At 35.3% G+C, this 15,785-nt stretch overlaps 1 long non-coding RNA gene across 2 annotated transcripts in view; it reads left to right on the top strand.

The window, feature by feature from the left end:
* LOC105375999 (uncharacterized) overlaps positions 1–15,785 on the top strand; it is a 155,489-nt gene that overhangs the window by 55,245 nt on the left and 84,459 nt on the right. Inside the window, exon 1 of one of the 2 annotated variants that reach the window (XR_001746565.1) lies at positions 6,065–6,177. The exons of the other annotated variant lie outside the window; for it this stretch is intronic. This is a non-coding gene — a long non-coding RNA (uncharacterized LOC105375999). Of the gene's footprint in view, positions 1–6,064; positions 6,178–15,785 lie in introns of those variants that run through there. 2 annotated transcript variants of the gene reach the window in all.

Genomic DNA, 15,785 nt, shown 5'->3' with positions numbered 1-15,785 from the left:
CCATGTAGTTGAGTGGTTTTGAGTGAATTTCTTAATCCTGAGTTCTAGTTTGATTGCACTGTGGTCTGAGAGACAGTTTATTATAATTTCTGTTCTTTTACCTTTGCTGAGGAGAGCTTTACTTCCAAGTATGTGGTCAATTTTGCAATAGGTGTGGTGATGAAAAAGATGTATATTCTGTTGATTTGGGGTGGAGAGTTCTGTAGATGTCTATTGGGTCTGCTTGGTGCAGAGCTGAGTTCAATTCCTGGGTATCCTTGTTAACTTTCTGTCTCATTGATCTGTCTAATGTTGACAGTGGGGTGTTAAAGTCTCCCATTATTATTGTGTGGGAGTCTAAGTCTCTTTGTAGGTCACTCAGGACTTGCTTTGTGAATCTGGGTGCTCCTGTATTGGGTGCTTATATATTTAGGATAGTTAGCTCTTCTTGTTGAATTGATCCCTTTACCATTATGTAATGGCCTTCTTTGTCTCTTTTGATCTTTGTTGGTTTAAAGTCTGTTTTATCAGAGACTAGGATTGCAACCACTGCCTAGTGGTTTGTTTTCCATTTGCTTGGTAGATCTTCCTCCATCCTTTTATTTTGAGCCTATGTGTGTCTCTGCACATGAGATGGGTTTCCTGAATACAGCACACTGATGGGTCCTGACTCTTTATCCAATTTGCCAGTCTGTGTCTTTTAATTGGAGCATTTTGTCCATTTACATTTAAAGTTAATATTGTTATTTGTGAATTTGATCCTGTCATTATCATGTTAGCTGGTTATTTTGCTCGTTAGTTGATGTAGTTACTTCCTAGCCTCGATGGTCTTTACAATTTGGCATGATTTTGCAGTGGCTGGTACCGGTTGTTCCTTTCCATGTTTAGTGCTTCCTTCAGGAGCTCTTTTAGCTCTTTCAGTCACCCAGTGAGTCTCATTCCTGCTTTCTCTTGAGATAAATTGGACTCTCATATGCTGGCCTTTTGTACAAAACTAGGTAAAGCATGAGCACAGTCTGTCTGAAGCTGTTGCAAGAAAGCCACCCATGAACAGCTATTTGTGCTGTGATAAAGCTTCCCTGGAGTACTGTAGCCATGGGATGGGGCTACATAGTCCTGTGTGATTTTGTCAGAGATTCAGAAGTGGGATAGATTGAACTTACTGTCCAGTCAAAGTTGTCAATAACCTGTGATATGGTTTGGCTGTGTGTCCCCACCCGAATCTCACCTTGAATTGGAATAACCCCACATGTCATGGGTGGGGAGGGGGGAACCAAGTGGGAGGTAATTGAATCATGGGGGCAGGTTTTTTCTTTGCTGTTCTCATTTGGTTTTATAAAGGGGAGTTCCCCTACACAAGCTCTCTTGCTTGCTGCCATGTAAAATGTCCTTTGCTTACCCTTCGTCTTCTGTCATGATTGTAAGGCCTCCCCACCCACGTGGAACTGTGAGTTCATTAAACCTCTTCCCTTTATAAATTACCCAGTCTTGGGTATATCTTTATTAGCAGCATGAGAACAGACTAATACAACCTATTCCTGAACACTGTCTACAGCATTTCTCCCAAGAAATTTTTTAATCTTCCCCTGATGCCCCTGTTCATATATGTACTTTTTCTCTCTGATTCTCATTTGCTTTAAAATGTGGTGCTAATCAATGAAGTAATACTTGACACTTTTAAAAAATTATAGAAAACATTTTCCCTGTCTCAATTCCAAGGATACAAGTAATTCTTTATTTTTAATTTTTTTACTGTAGCAGTCATCAGGGATCTTCTTAGATTTGACTAAACTTTCACACACACTACACTCCCGTATGCTACACTTGACATTAGACCACTCAGAAGACATAGGACAAGAACCAGAGTTGGTCCCCAGGGAAGCTTCAGACATTCCTCTCCACTGGAGTCCTTACAGCAGTCTACACAGCAGAAGGCACAACTGCCCATGGTCAACTCACTTAGGGAGAAGTGAAATCCACATTGGACAGGTGTGGGGGCTGCCCTGGCTTGAAAGCCTCATGCCTGATAGGAGTCAGTATCTGTTGTGACAATTCCATAGATAGAGCTTTCAGAGTCTCTACGGAGAGGCAGGCCAATTATGAGTCATCACATTTAGGGAAACCCAAAGTTTGGCCTCACATCAAGGATTTATAGTTCTCCCAGGTTAGATACAATCTGTCTATCAAAGGTCACTTCTTTTCATCATAATCAATGTTGCTTAATAACATAGTTGACATCTACCATCTTTATTTCTTTCCAAGGTAACAGCTAGGAAGACCACCAAAGATCAGACCCACACAGAAACAAAAAACATTGTGTTAACCCTTTGCCCAAACATAAAAATATTGTGAATGTTATAACTACTTTTATTTCTTTGGATTGGTTCAGGAAGTTTGAAACCTTGTAAGTAGATAGCAAGGGGTGAGGGAGTTCTAATCATGGAGCATTGATTTGCTCAGATGATATTTGGATTATCTTGGTTATCACTTAACAGCTTTTTGGGGTGGTGTAAAAGCAGTAGCATCACGGTTTTAAGAAACTTTAAGAAAGATGAATACTATATTTCCCCTAATTATAATAGATTTGTTGAGCAATGACTATCAGCCAAACACTTTAATTATGCTAGCGTGAGGAATCTTTAAAATGATATGAAGTGCCTCTATTTCGTTAATGAGAAATTAGGACTTGGAAGATTAAACCATTTGCCTGATTCCACGCAGACAAATCTGTACATGCTATCAATCAACCGATTTAAGATATTGCCTCTAGAACTTACTAATGAGTATACACGGTTTTCAAAAGCTATAAATATATTTTGTCATGTTCTCACCTAAGATTTTGTCATAAACATTTCTAATAATTTTACCTAGTCTTAATGATCATCATGTATAAATACCAGCATACTGTTATAATATACTGAAATATAATAATTTAGTTAACAAAACCCTCTTCTCACAGATATATTTTAGTTTCAATATTTCACTTCTGTCATTAATGTTGCCAGGGCATCTTCTTGCATGTAATTTTTTTGGAGGGGTTCTCCAGTTATTTATCTTGTGATTTCTTCTGCTGTAAGGAGGAGAGAGTGATCATTTTTTTCCCAGATCTGATACATACAAATTATATTCTGCTAATTTTACTATGGTTTGACTTTATTTACATTTTTATTCCATACGGAGATATTTTGCCTTTTAGAGAATGATGTGGATTCAATTTGTTCTTTTTTCAAGTTGTTAACCAATATTCTCACTCCATACTTAAAATGATTCTTTTATATTGTTTATAAGAGTGTAATTGTAATAGAGGAAGTTCTTAAATATTTTGATTCAGTTTCTGATCTTTCTCTTCTAATTCACTGAATGATATATTCATATGGGAAGTGGTGTCATGGAGTTTTAATTATTGTTTCTGTGTAATAGTTCTGTTAAAGTTACTCTTCGCTTTCTCCTTACATACTGTTGATGTTATTTTATGACTACTGCTTGATATTTTCATTTGTTTATTTTTCAAAATAAATTTCAGAATCATTTTGCTAAATTCCACAGCACAAAAAAGTACAGATTAAATTTTAATTGAATTCTAACTCTAATTCTATAAGATAACTAGACTAGACATCTTTGCAACATTTTGTCACCACTTTCTGAAATACAGTACACTTATCCACATGTTTCTCTTTCTGTCTCTCTCTCTTTATATATAAACATATATATGTCTTGATTTTATTTTATTTTGTCTTTTTTTAAAGCTAGGTTACATATATATACACATATATATATATGTAATGTTCTTTAACTATTTCATTTTTCATGATTCCAAATGAAACATTTCTTTTTTCCATTGTGTTTTACTTCTGGCTGTTATCAATGTTTAAAATATAATTTTTGGCATAATTATGTTATATTCCTACATTTAAATGTCTTGTGATTCAAACATTTTAGGAGTTTTAAAATAATTTTTAGGTATACCTTATTGATTTCAAAAATGATTACTATGTAACTTTCCAATACTTAAACAATTACTGAATTCCCCGGAACTTTCCAAATAACACTATATAATAACAAGATCCTTATTTCATTCTTGATTTAAACGGATTCACTTTAAAAGTGAATGGTGAGATATGCATGTTTTGTTCAATAAAAAAGTAAGTTGTAAAATTGAAGTAAATAATATTTTATCATTAAATTGATTTTTTGGAACAAGATACTCTGCAACAAATACAAATGAATTATTCTATTCTATTTTCTATTTATTAAAATAATAAATAATTACCAAAGATATTTTGCATCTACTGAAATGATGACGTGATTCCTATTACTTAGGCTGTTTATATTATATATTACAGTTATGGATTTCCTAATGTTGAGCTGTGCTCTTTTATACTCTGAATTAACATAGCTGATATACTACTTGGTCAACGTATAAAAACAATGTTTTAAGGGGATTTTTAACAAGTGAGAGTAAACTCACAAGTTGGCCATTAAGGTGGTGAAAGATGTGGAGAATGGCATAATATTAGAACTAGAATATTTAGCCTGAATTTCTAAGAAGAGAAAACTTAGATTATCTGCTTTAGAAAGAAAATCATAGTAATTTTTAAGTTTAAAGGCCTTTTATTGGAGAAGATTATTTTGATTCAAAAATTTTCCAGAGGGAAGAACTAGTTAAAATGGGGTTAGAGAAATACAGATTGAAAACATTTTCTATTAATTACAGAGTTTTAAAATTTAAATGTCCCGTTTCAAACGATTGAGCCTCATCATCAATATAAATGTTGAAGCAGAGGCTGGATGACCTTCGGTTTGTAGAAAATCTTCTGCATAGGTTGAATGGTTGGTCTGGATGATCTTTTAGGTACTTTCCAATTGCAAAACTATGAAGCTGATTTTTTGCCTAAAGAACACATTATGCGTTATTATTTCTATTTTATAAATATTTTTTGAAACCAATATGGTAGGCAGAATTCTAATATGATCCCCCACATTCCTGGCCCCTACTATATGTTTTTAGGTAAAAGGGTAGAAAAACCACTCTATCATAAGCCTCTTATAAGTTAGGTGGTGTAAAGTCCCTCAAAAGATTGGAGAGCATAAAAAAATCTCAGAAACTTAGATATCTGGATACTGTAAATAATTCAGACTGAGAAAAAGTGAGGATTAAATGTCTTAAAGAGAGTATTAGAGTTGGTAGAAAGTTACATTCTAGAAGGGAATTAAAACTAATGATAACCCTATTTTAAGTAGAAATAAAAGCTGAATAGAATAAGAGGTAAATGTAAGTTCCATTTAGAACATAGGGCCAGAAACTATAAGACAGTTTGCAGTAGTCACTAATTTGAGAGTGGGGGGTGGGGATGGCAGATGGTAAATGAACAAGGAATTCTGACTCCCAAATTCATGAAAAAGCTCTTAATCGTATTTTAGGAAATATTATTTTGCCAGGTTTAACAGGGTTGTTGTGGCTTATAAAAAGCAAATGAAGCCAAGAAATATATATATATATATATATATATAATTTAAAAAATATTATATAAATATATATTTTATTGTATGTGTAATGCATAAATAAAATATATACTTTCAATTTTTAAAAGAGTACTTTAAAAATATTGAGTGATAACTGCTTTATTTTGGTTATTCATTCAATAGGTATGAATAACGAAATTCATTCAATAGGTTGTTCGTACCTATTGAATGAATAACCACAGTAACTTAAAATGAGGCATTCAAATAATCTAATGAAAGGTTCATTAGAAGTCTTGGTTTCTTGGAGATAATTGGGAAAATATTTCTATGACTTGCTATGAGATCTCAGGATAGAGGCAGAAACATCACAGCGTCACACAATGGCTAATTATAATGACTACCATTAATTGAATAGCGTATTAGAGAGTATGTATTCATTCATAGCTGTTCTTTTCCTCCTTTCCTGGCCATAGATTCCCTGTGAGTGGAATATACTTCCCTGTCACAATGACTTTGGGGTTATCCATGTGGCTTGCTATAGCAGTGAGCAGAAGTGATAGTGTGTGAGGTCCAAGTAAAGTTTTCCCAGCCTTTTTGCACTTCTGCTATCCACAGTGAAAAGAGCATGCCCAATGTAAGCACTGTCCTTTCATCCTGAATCCTGGACAAAGAGACTTATGGAGCAGGTGTGAACCCAGTCTGCATACTGGAGCCACATGCAGCTTAACTGGCCAGGTAAGCTCAACCACTTCCAGGAGAGCCACAGACAAACTGAAGATTCCTGAGTGAGAAACAAATGTTTGCTGTTGTAAACCATCAAGATTTTGAGGTAGCTGAAGCTTCTTTACTTAAGCAAGGTCTGACTGGTACAAATGCCCAATATTTTCTAAGAACTGTGCTAGGTGCTTAATTTTTGTTATTTCAAACTTACAAAAAGTATTATAAAATTATCATCTCATAACAATATTATAATTATTAAAAAATAAAGTGATATCAATATCTCAGTGTTATAAATGAAGAGACACATCTGGAGATTTTAAAAATTAACTTACACAATGCAGGTAATAAGTGGTTTAACTAACACTGGAATCTGAATGTGGTTCTAAATCCAATAGCAGTGTTCTTTTCAGTACTTTGCATAAATTGAGGAAGGGGCTCTTAATTACTTTTCCTTGTGCACATTGAAAAGTCATGGTGAGATATGCTTCATGTTGTAAGGACCAGAATGTATTTGGAAAGAGAGGTTTTAGCTTTTGAATCAAGCAGTACTTCTTGAGTATGTCTGTGGATATGAGGTGTGTGCAAATGCATAAATTTTGGCTGTTGAAGAATTATAAAATAAAAATGTACATTGAAGTTACTCTAGAAATGCAATCCATGTTAGAGAATAATGTGTGGCAACCATATGCAATAAGTAGAGATGAGATGAGAACATCATCCTGTTACACTTACATTAACTCTAATCACATTTTGTAGCTGATGCTCTTATGAGGGCTGCCAACTAACATTTTAGGTAAATGAAGAGCTAGGATATATAGCCTTCAGAAAGCAGGCACCTCTCCTGTCAAATAGGTAATTACAGAGGCTATGACTCCATTAGGAAAATGGCGGCCAATCAATGTAAGCCCTAAGAGCTCAGATCCTTTGTAACTGATTGAGAGATTCAGTGACTTTGATGCAATTGAGTTTCAAATGTAAGAAGCCAATATTTGGCCAGATGGCTGCCATGAATTCCAGAGGGAGTTTATGAATTTTAATAAGAGCAATAGCTGCACAATTTAAGTCACATGTACTGACGCTAAATGAAATATGCAGATGAATATTGAAACTGCAACCTGGGGTATCGAAGCTTCCATTTGTTGTGTATTAATATTGCTATTTATTTCTGCAGGTATGCAATTGCTTATTATATGAGGTCTGGAGGAACTTGTTTATGCAACTCACAACTGATGTTTGGGACTACAGCCTACTTCTTATTTCTGCTGAGATGACCCATTATGTAGTTTAGGATAATTTAGAGGTTCTATTTCAGATGCACCCAGTTGTGCAAACAAGAGATATTTAGGCTTATTCAGTCACTTAGTTCCCGCAAGGCTAATGTGGATAGCATTCAAGAATGGGGATAATTCATAAATGAATCAAGCATGGTTATTAATTTTGTCATAGAAAAACTTAAAAATTGAATGAAGGAGGAGAGAAATATTTTAAAATGATTATAATAAAAGGTTGGAAGGGATAAATATCATAAGGGAGGTATAGATAAAGCAGTAGGTCTGTTCAGTAGTTAGGTTAATTTATTGCGGGTGATTAAATAAATACAAATAAGAGGAGAGACTTTCACTTTGGATAACTGATAATTCTAACCAACATTCTGAATAAAAAAGAGAACAGCTAAATAACAATAGGAAAGCGTATACTTGAAGGTATAAAATAGTAAAAAATATACTGAAGGATTATGGAGCCAAGGATTCAACAAGAATAGATGTATAGAGAGGTTAGCCCAGCATTAATGTTGCTTATGTTTGCTGATTGTTGAAAAGAAAATAAAAATACTGAGAATTATTTCTGATAGCCTTGTGAGACTAAGGGGACAAAAGTTGGAGTTGAAAGCCTGTCCAAAGTAAGAACCCTGGTAAAACTCCCTGTTTATGATTTAGGTTTGGACTTTGAAGGGCCACATCCCAAGATTAGGGATGATGGGAAGTCACCCAGCCCAGGCTCAATCCCAATAAAAAGCTGAGAGTGATTTCTGATGCTTCACTGGCTCAAACAACAAACAATATTTTCATTGTTTGTTGGAAGTTTAAAATTATTTGTAACAACGCAAGGTCCATTGCATGTTAAAAATTGACCTGGCACACTGAGAGAGAAGCTGATATGAATGAGACTATGTAGAATTATCAAATACTTTAAAATAACTAAGTTTATATATTCAAAAACATAAAAGGAAGGGTTGACAACATTACTGGAAATGATTTTTAAAAAAGACAGAAATTCTAAAAAGAAGCAAAGAAAAATTATAAAATTAAAAGATTTAAAAAATGAGTGGTAGTATTTACTTTAAAATTATTTATTTAGCTATTTAGCTAATTATTTATATATATAATGCATTTATATTTCGTGAACTTTTCTATAAATGTGTCATATTTCACAATAAAAAGTATAAAAGATGTATAAAAGCTAACATGTTTTTTATCAGATTCCAAAGAGTATGTTAAATCTTTGAATCTATAAATTTATTCAAACTTTAAAGCCTAGTTGTGTTCCTGGGGTGGAGGAGAGGGTACTGGGTCCTAACAAATGAAAACTTTCATTTCTCTTTTTCTCCTTTGACTGCAAGGAGGAACCAGCCCTCTTGTCCTATTGCTTTATACCACCAAGGTTGCTTTACTGCAGGTGCTTGGTTGCTTTGCTCTGCCTTGAGGCCCTTTGTAGTCTAGCTCCTTTGTGTGCTAGTTCTTTCCCTCCCAGAGAGCCCTTCTCCTCCAGTTCTTTATGCAAATTGCTTCCTTCTCATTCCCCTTCAGAGCTTGGAACTCAAAGGGAAGTTGGGAGAAACAGATTTGGCCAAGTTACAGGAAAACAGATTCTTTTTGTACTTTTCTCCAGGGTGATGGGCATCTATTTGCCTTACAATTTTGCAACTAATGCCATCCAAATGATTCTTCCAGAAAAGAAAGATTTATTCAGAGGTCGTTTGTTCTTTCCATTTCTAGATATAGAAGTGGCTGGTATTTTTAGTTCTTGCCTCTTCTGGTTGGTTTCCCTCATTAGGCACTCTGCCACATATCATAAACAATGAGACTCTTTTCTAACCCAAATAAGTTCCATCCACAGCTGCTTGTGTCTTCTAGTGACTTAGTATTCAGCAAAACAAAGTAAAACCACACTGTCCAGGCCACAGGTAATCAGTGAGCTACTGTGCTAGCCACACATGTCTGATTCTCTCCGGCTGTGACCGTCACATTTCACAAATGACATTAAAAAGGAAATGGTGCAGAGTAAGGCATGAGGGCTGAAATCCACATTAGGAGAAATGATACAAGGAATTGGGCACATTTACAGTGAAGTGAGGGCAAAAGAAGCAGGATGGATCCTGGCTACGATAGTAGGAATTGCCAGGTGGTAGGTGGATACAGATTGCAGCTCAGTGTAAGTACATTTTGCCTAATGTACAAAAGGACTTATCCCACAAAAGAGATGAGTTACCTTAAAGTTGTGAGTTTTATCAGTAAAAATGTTTAATACTCGGTGAGCAGACAGTAGCGACTGTTAGGGAGGTTTGATATAGGGTTTTTGCAATATGAATGTGGACTTGTCTTAGAAGTCGACAGTTACTGTTTCCAAGAAAAAAGTGTTCTAAGCTTTAACAAATTAAGGTACAATTTTTAGACCGTAGTTTACTTGTATGTTGAGCTACTTATATAAGCTTTTGTACTTTCTATTATTAAGAAAAAATAGGAAGAATAATACAAATTTTGGACAAATCATATATAATGCTACATCACTGACCTAGGAATGAAATAGAAGGCTGAACTGGTGTTTTTCTTAGTTTATAGGCATCCTAAAACCTGAGGTTCAGGAAAGAGCATTAAATTTTTATTTGTTTCTTTATTTCCTTCTCCTTGTTAGACAAGCATCTTCATTTTTTGTTAATTCTCTTGTTAAGCTATGTAGCCGCCATGACATGCCATCTGGGGTCTGTAAGAAGTCACTTCACAGTTTAGTTAACAGGTGACGTAGCACAGGTAGTACAGACTAGTTTAATCCAGAATTTGTTCAAAAATTTGTGCTCTGAGTGTTGTGTGGGGAAGGAAAGAAAAGATGCTTTGAGGCATTGTTTTCTGAAAACTGGTATTGAGTAAACAAGGCTTTCACTTACCAGAGTAAGTCTTTTAATAATATAAAAGCAGAAAGAGCTCCAAGCTCTCTGATTTAGGCTTTTCTGACCTATTTGGTGTTGAAAGTTAGAGAGCCTTGGCTTTTCTAATCAGTTTTATCTCAATAATGTCTGACTTCAGAGACAGCAGTAACAGAACTCACCGGGCAGAAAAAAATTCCCCTGAGAGCCATTTCAATTTGTAAACCTTTAGTAAGCAGTTTAGCATGAGGATCTTCAACCCTGGAGGAATCACATCAGGGTTTAATAATCCTAAGCCAAAAACAGACTCTTAGATATATAAGATTTTATTTGAAGGCAAAAGTAAAGACAGTGGGGAAAAGTAGACCTCTGGTTTCAATTGCAGATAAAAACCATTAATGGTTTTATTTTTAAACTTAATCACAGCTTAAAAGAGTGGTAATTCACCTTGGGTTTCAGGATTTTTTTCTTTTTTTTACATTTTTTTCTGTGCCTGAAGACCTGAGCTCCTTATGATCTTAATCACATGCCTCTGAGTAGGTGGACTTGCACAATGGAAGAGTAATTCTATTTTCCCAGAACAGAAAAAAATGAAAGTCAGATATGAAAATGTGAGCTCCTTTATGTTATCCAAAACCTGTGCTTCTCTTGATTGAAAGATCTATTTTTCACATGTGCAAAACACAAAGTTTTCAGATCAAAATTTCTCTTAAAAATATTTCTTGAATCTGATTGCTAGGTTTTTTCCCCCCTCTCTGAAATTTCTACCATCTATAATCTGGCTCCAAATATTACAAGCTCTGGAATGGCTGCTTTTACACTTGGATTTTGGATATGTATTTTTTTTTTTACTTGTGTATGCATTAAGTAATACAAGCAATTCAAAATCTTGGCAAATGTTTCCTCTTAAAATTATTCCCCAGAATTAAGGTATAAACAAGAGAGGAGGATGGGAGAGAGAATAGGATGATGGATAATTCCAAGGGAAAAGATAGAGGTTTTTAAAAATAAATTGCTACTTTGTTACATTTTAGGGATTAATCAGTGCTGTTGAACTTCTTCTTGACCACAGCCATTTTACTGAAGCCTATGGCTGTATCATTGTCTCAATTTTCAGCAAGCCTGTCAGCTGTGATGCTACATTTTATAAACAATCTATTGTTTTGCAGCCTCCAGGAGTGATTAGATTCAGGGTTTTTTTTTTTTTTTTTTAAGACTCATTTATATAGATGAGGCAAGCCAAAGTGACGGGAATTTATGAGAGCAATATGACAAATGATCCTCTGTTTTAAGCACTGGATGGTCCTTTACAAAAGTAGTTTATGTGAGTGAATTTATAGCTGGCATCAAAAAGGCTACTCAGCCCTATCTAATCACTTGAATGCTTTTCAAAATGTCTCCTTCCAAAATAGATCTATTTTGGAATCACATCTGGTATAGGTGTAGTGGTCCTGCAACTGTTATTGAGTTCTTATGACATGCCAGTCAACATGCTAAGCACTTTATATGCATTATATATTCATTCAATCTTCAGAATAATCACATGTGGTAGGTTCTATTATTATTATTATTTTTATTTTATAGATGAGGTCATTGAGGCTTGGAGAGGCTAAATTGCTTATGATCATTGAGGAGCCAGGACCTAATGTCAGGCAGTCTGACTTCAGAGCTTGTACTTTCATCACCCTGATCAGTTATTTCATTGACCTATTAATGGATAAAGGGAAAGTTAATTTACATATTATATATCTTTATACACACACACACACCGTACACGGTAGCATGCCATAATGGTATATATGCATACACACAGAGAATGCAATATTTTTTTTCATGACATTTTCTGTCAAAGCCTGTGACTGCTTTTGAGGCATGCTTTTTTTTTGGTGATAAGCTATATGTACTTTTAAATGAAACTAGACAAATAAATGTTGTCTAGATCTCCCTTCTGGCAAGTGTATTTTATAAGCTTAGTTCAGGGCCAAAAAGAAGAGTTGTTTTATCTTCCTTATATACCCTTCATACTTCCCCAGGAGCTATGTCAGCTTGTTTCTATCACTGGTAGAGACCAGAAGGAAGGCTGTATTAAAGACAAAAACCAACAACTTTTAATTTTGAGATTGCTTATGAACTAGGAGTAGTTTGTACTTTGGCAAATGCATTTGTGTTTGTGTGTGCATGCATTTGTGCGTGTAGGCATATATATTTTCACATACTTCTATGGTTTGACTGTCCCTGCCGAAACTCAGATTGAAATTTAATTGCCCTTGTAACAGTGTTAAGAGGTGGGGTCTTTAGGAGGTAATTAGGTTATGAGGGCTCTACCCTCCTGAATGAATTAATTTGGGAGGAGGTTAGTTACTGTGGGAGTCCCACCCTCCTTTCCTTTCTGTCTCACATGCTTGCTTCTGCCTTCTGCCCTGTCATAGGATGACCCTTGTCAGATGCTGGCACCATGCTCTTGGGTTTGCCAGCTCCAGAACTGTGAGAAACAAATTTCTTTTTAGAATAAATTACCCAGAATTAGGTATTCCTTTATAACAGCAGAAAACAGAATAAGACACATAGCAAACATTTTGCGTATTTTCTTGGTTCCCGACACACTCAAATAGTATATAACATGCTTTTTTTTTTTTTAAGAAGCTCATTGATGAGTATGAAATCTGTTCATTTTCTGGAATTCTGTTGAACAACACAAACTAAAAAAGCAATCATTTCACCTCCCATGCATTTATCTAAATACTTAGTTTCTAGAAGATTTTGTCTAATATGACTCCAGTTTTCTTATCTCCTAAAATTTCTGTTGTTTTTTGCTTGAATTTTTCACTCTTTATGTTATTTAACTATTATATTTCCCTTTACTCATGCTTTTACAATGCTCTTTGAGCTGTTTTTTTTTTTTTCTTTTTATCCCGGATAACTCTTATTTAACTCTTAAGACTCAGCTTGGGTAGCCCCTTTCCTAGAGGGCCTCCTACTGTCCTGCTACTATCAGACTAAGTTGGTAGATGCCCCTGTCTGGATCTTATGGTATTCTGGACAAAGTAACCTATGCACATCTCTGCTGTAGCTATTCTTATACCATTTGAATTGTCTGTCCATGTGTCTGATCCCCCTCTAGACTCTGAGCTTCTTGAGTGCACTATGTTGTGTGTTCTAATCTCTGTGATATCTGTGTGCAGCTGAGTGTCTGACACATGATGAGTGTTGGGAAATGCTTGTTGAATTAAAATTTTTTTAAAAAATGTATTATTTTATTTCAATAGGTTTTTGGGAAACAGGTGGTATTTTGTCATACAAATAAGTTCTTTAGTTATGATTTCTGAGATTTTGGTGCACCCATCACCTGCGCAGTGTACACTGTACCCAATGTGTAGTCTTTTATCCCTTACCATCCCCACCCTTCCCCCTGAATCCCCAAAGTCCAATGTGTCATTCTTATGCCTTTGTGCACTCATAGCTTAGCTCCCATATATGAGGGAGAATGTAGGCTGTTTGACTTTCCATTCCTGAGTTACTTCACTTGGAATAGTCTCCAGTTCCATCCAGGTGGCTGTGAATGCCATTATTTCATTTCTTTTTATGGATGAGTATTATACCATGGGGTATCTATATATCTATATCTATATCTATCTGTATCACATTTTCTTTATCCACTTGTTGATTAATGGGCATTTGGGCTGGTTCCGTATTTTTGCAATCACAAATAGCGCTGCTATAAACATGCATGTGCTAGTATCTTTTTTGTATAATGACTTCTTTTCCCCTGGGCAGATACCTAGTAGTGGGATTGCTGGATCAAATGGTAGATCTACTTTCAGTTCTTTAAAGAATCTCCACACTGTTTTCCATAGTGGTTGTACTAGTTTAGATTCTCACCAACAGTGTAAAAGTGTTCCCTTTTCACCACATCCCCGCCAACATCTATTTTTTTAAAAAGTTTTTATGGCCGTTCTTGCAGGAGTTAGGTGGTATTGCATTGTGGTTTTGATTTGCATTTTCCTGATAATTAGTGACGTTGAGCATGTTTCCATATGCTTCTTGGCCATTTGTATATTCTCTTTTGAGAATTGTCTATGTCCTTAGCCCATTTTTTGAAAAGACTGTTATTTACTTGCTGATTTGTCTGAGTTCTTTGTAGATTCTGGATATTAGTCCTTTGTCAGATGTACAGATTGTGAAGATTTTCTCCCATTCTGTGGGTTGTCTGTTAACTCTGCTGATTATTTCTTTTGCTGTGCAGAAACTTTTTAGTTTAATTAAGTCCCATTTATTTATCTTTGCTTTTGTTGCATTTGCTTTTGGGTTCTTGGTCATGAAGTCTTTGCCTAAGCCAATGTCTAGAAGGGCTTTTCTGATATTATCATCTAGAATCTTTATGGTTTCAGGTCTTAGGTTTAAGTATTTGATACATCTTGAGTTGATTTTTGTATAAGATGAGATGAGGATCCAGTTTCATTCTCCTACATGTGGCTTGCCAGTTATCCCAGCACCATTTGTTGACTAGGGTGTCCTTTGCCCGCTTTATGATTTTGTGTGCTTTGTCAAAGATCAGTTGGATGCAAGTATTTGGCTTTATTTCTGGGTTTTTCTATTCTGTTTCGTTGGTCCATGTGCCAATTTTTTATACCAGTACCATGCTGGTTTGGTGACTATGGCCTTACAGTATTAGTCTGAAGTCAGGTGATGTGATGCCTCCAGATTTGTTCTTTTTGCTTAGTCTTCTTTTGGCTATGCAGGCTCTTTTTTTGGTTCCATATGAATTTTAGGATTGTTTTATCAAGTTCTTTGAAGAATGATGGTGGCATTTTTATGGGAATTGCATTGAATTTGTAGATTGCTGTTGGCAGCTTGGTCATTTTTACAATATTGATTCTACTCATCTGTGTGCACTGGATGTGTTTCCATTTGTTTGTGTCATTTCTGATTTCTTTCAGCAGTGTTTTGTAGTTATTCTTGTTGAGGTCTTTCATGTTCTTGATTAGGTGTATTCCCAAGTATTTAATTTTTTTTGCAACTATTGTGAAAATGGTTGAGTTCTTGATTTGACTCTCAGCTTGGTGGCTGTTGGTGCATAGCAGAGTTACTAATTGGTGTGCATTAATTTTGTATCCTGAAACTTTGCTGAATTCATTTACCAGTTCTAGGAGATTTTGGATGAGTCTTTAGGGTTTTCTAGGTATATGATCATATCATCAGCAAACAGGGACAGTTTGATATCCTGTTACCAATTTGGATGCCCTTTTTTCTTTTTCTGATTGTTCCGGGGAGGACTTCCAGTACTATGTTGAATAGAAGTGGTGAGAGTGGGCATCCTTGTCTTGTTTCAGTTCTCAGAGCGAATGCTTTCACCTTTTCCCCATTCACTATAATGTTGACTGTGGGTTTGTCCTGGATGACTTTTATTACCTTAAGGTATGTCCCTTCTGTGCAGATTTTGCTGAGGGTTTTAACCATAAATGGATGTTTGCTTTTGTCAGAT

The sequence above is a fragment of the Homo sapiens genome, chromosome 9 (genome assembly GCF_000001405.40).
Source record: "Homo sapiens chromosome 9, GRCh38.p14 Primary Assembly".
Lineage (NCBI taxonomy): Eukaryota > Metazoa > Chordata > Mammalia > Primates > Hominidae > Homo > Homo sapiens.
The sequence above is the reverse complement of the archived record's forward strand: the minus strand, read 5'-3'. Positions and strand labels throughout refer to the sequence as shown.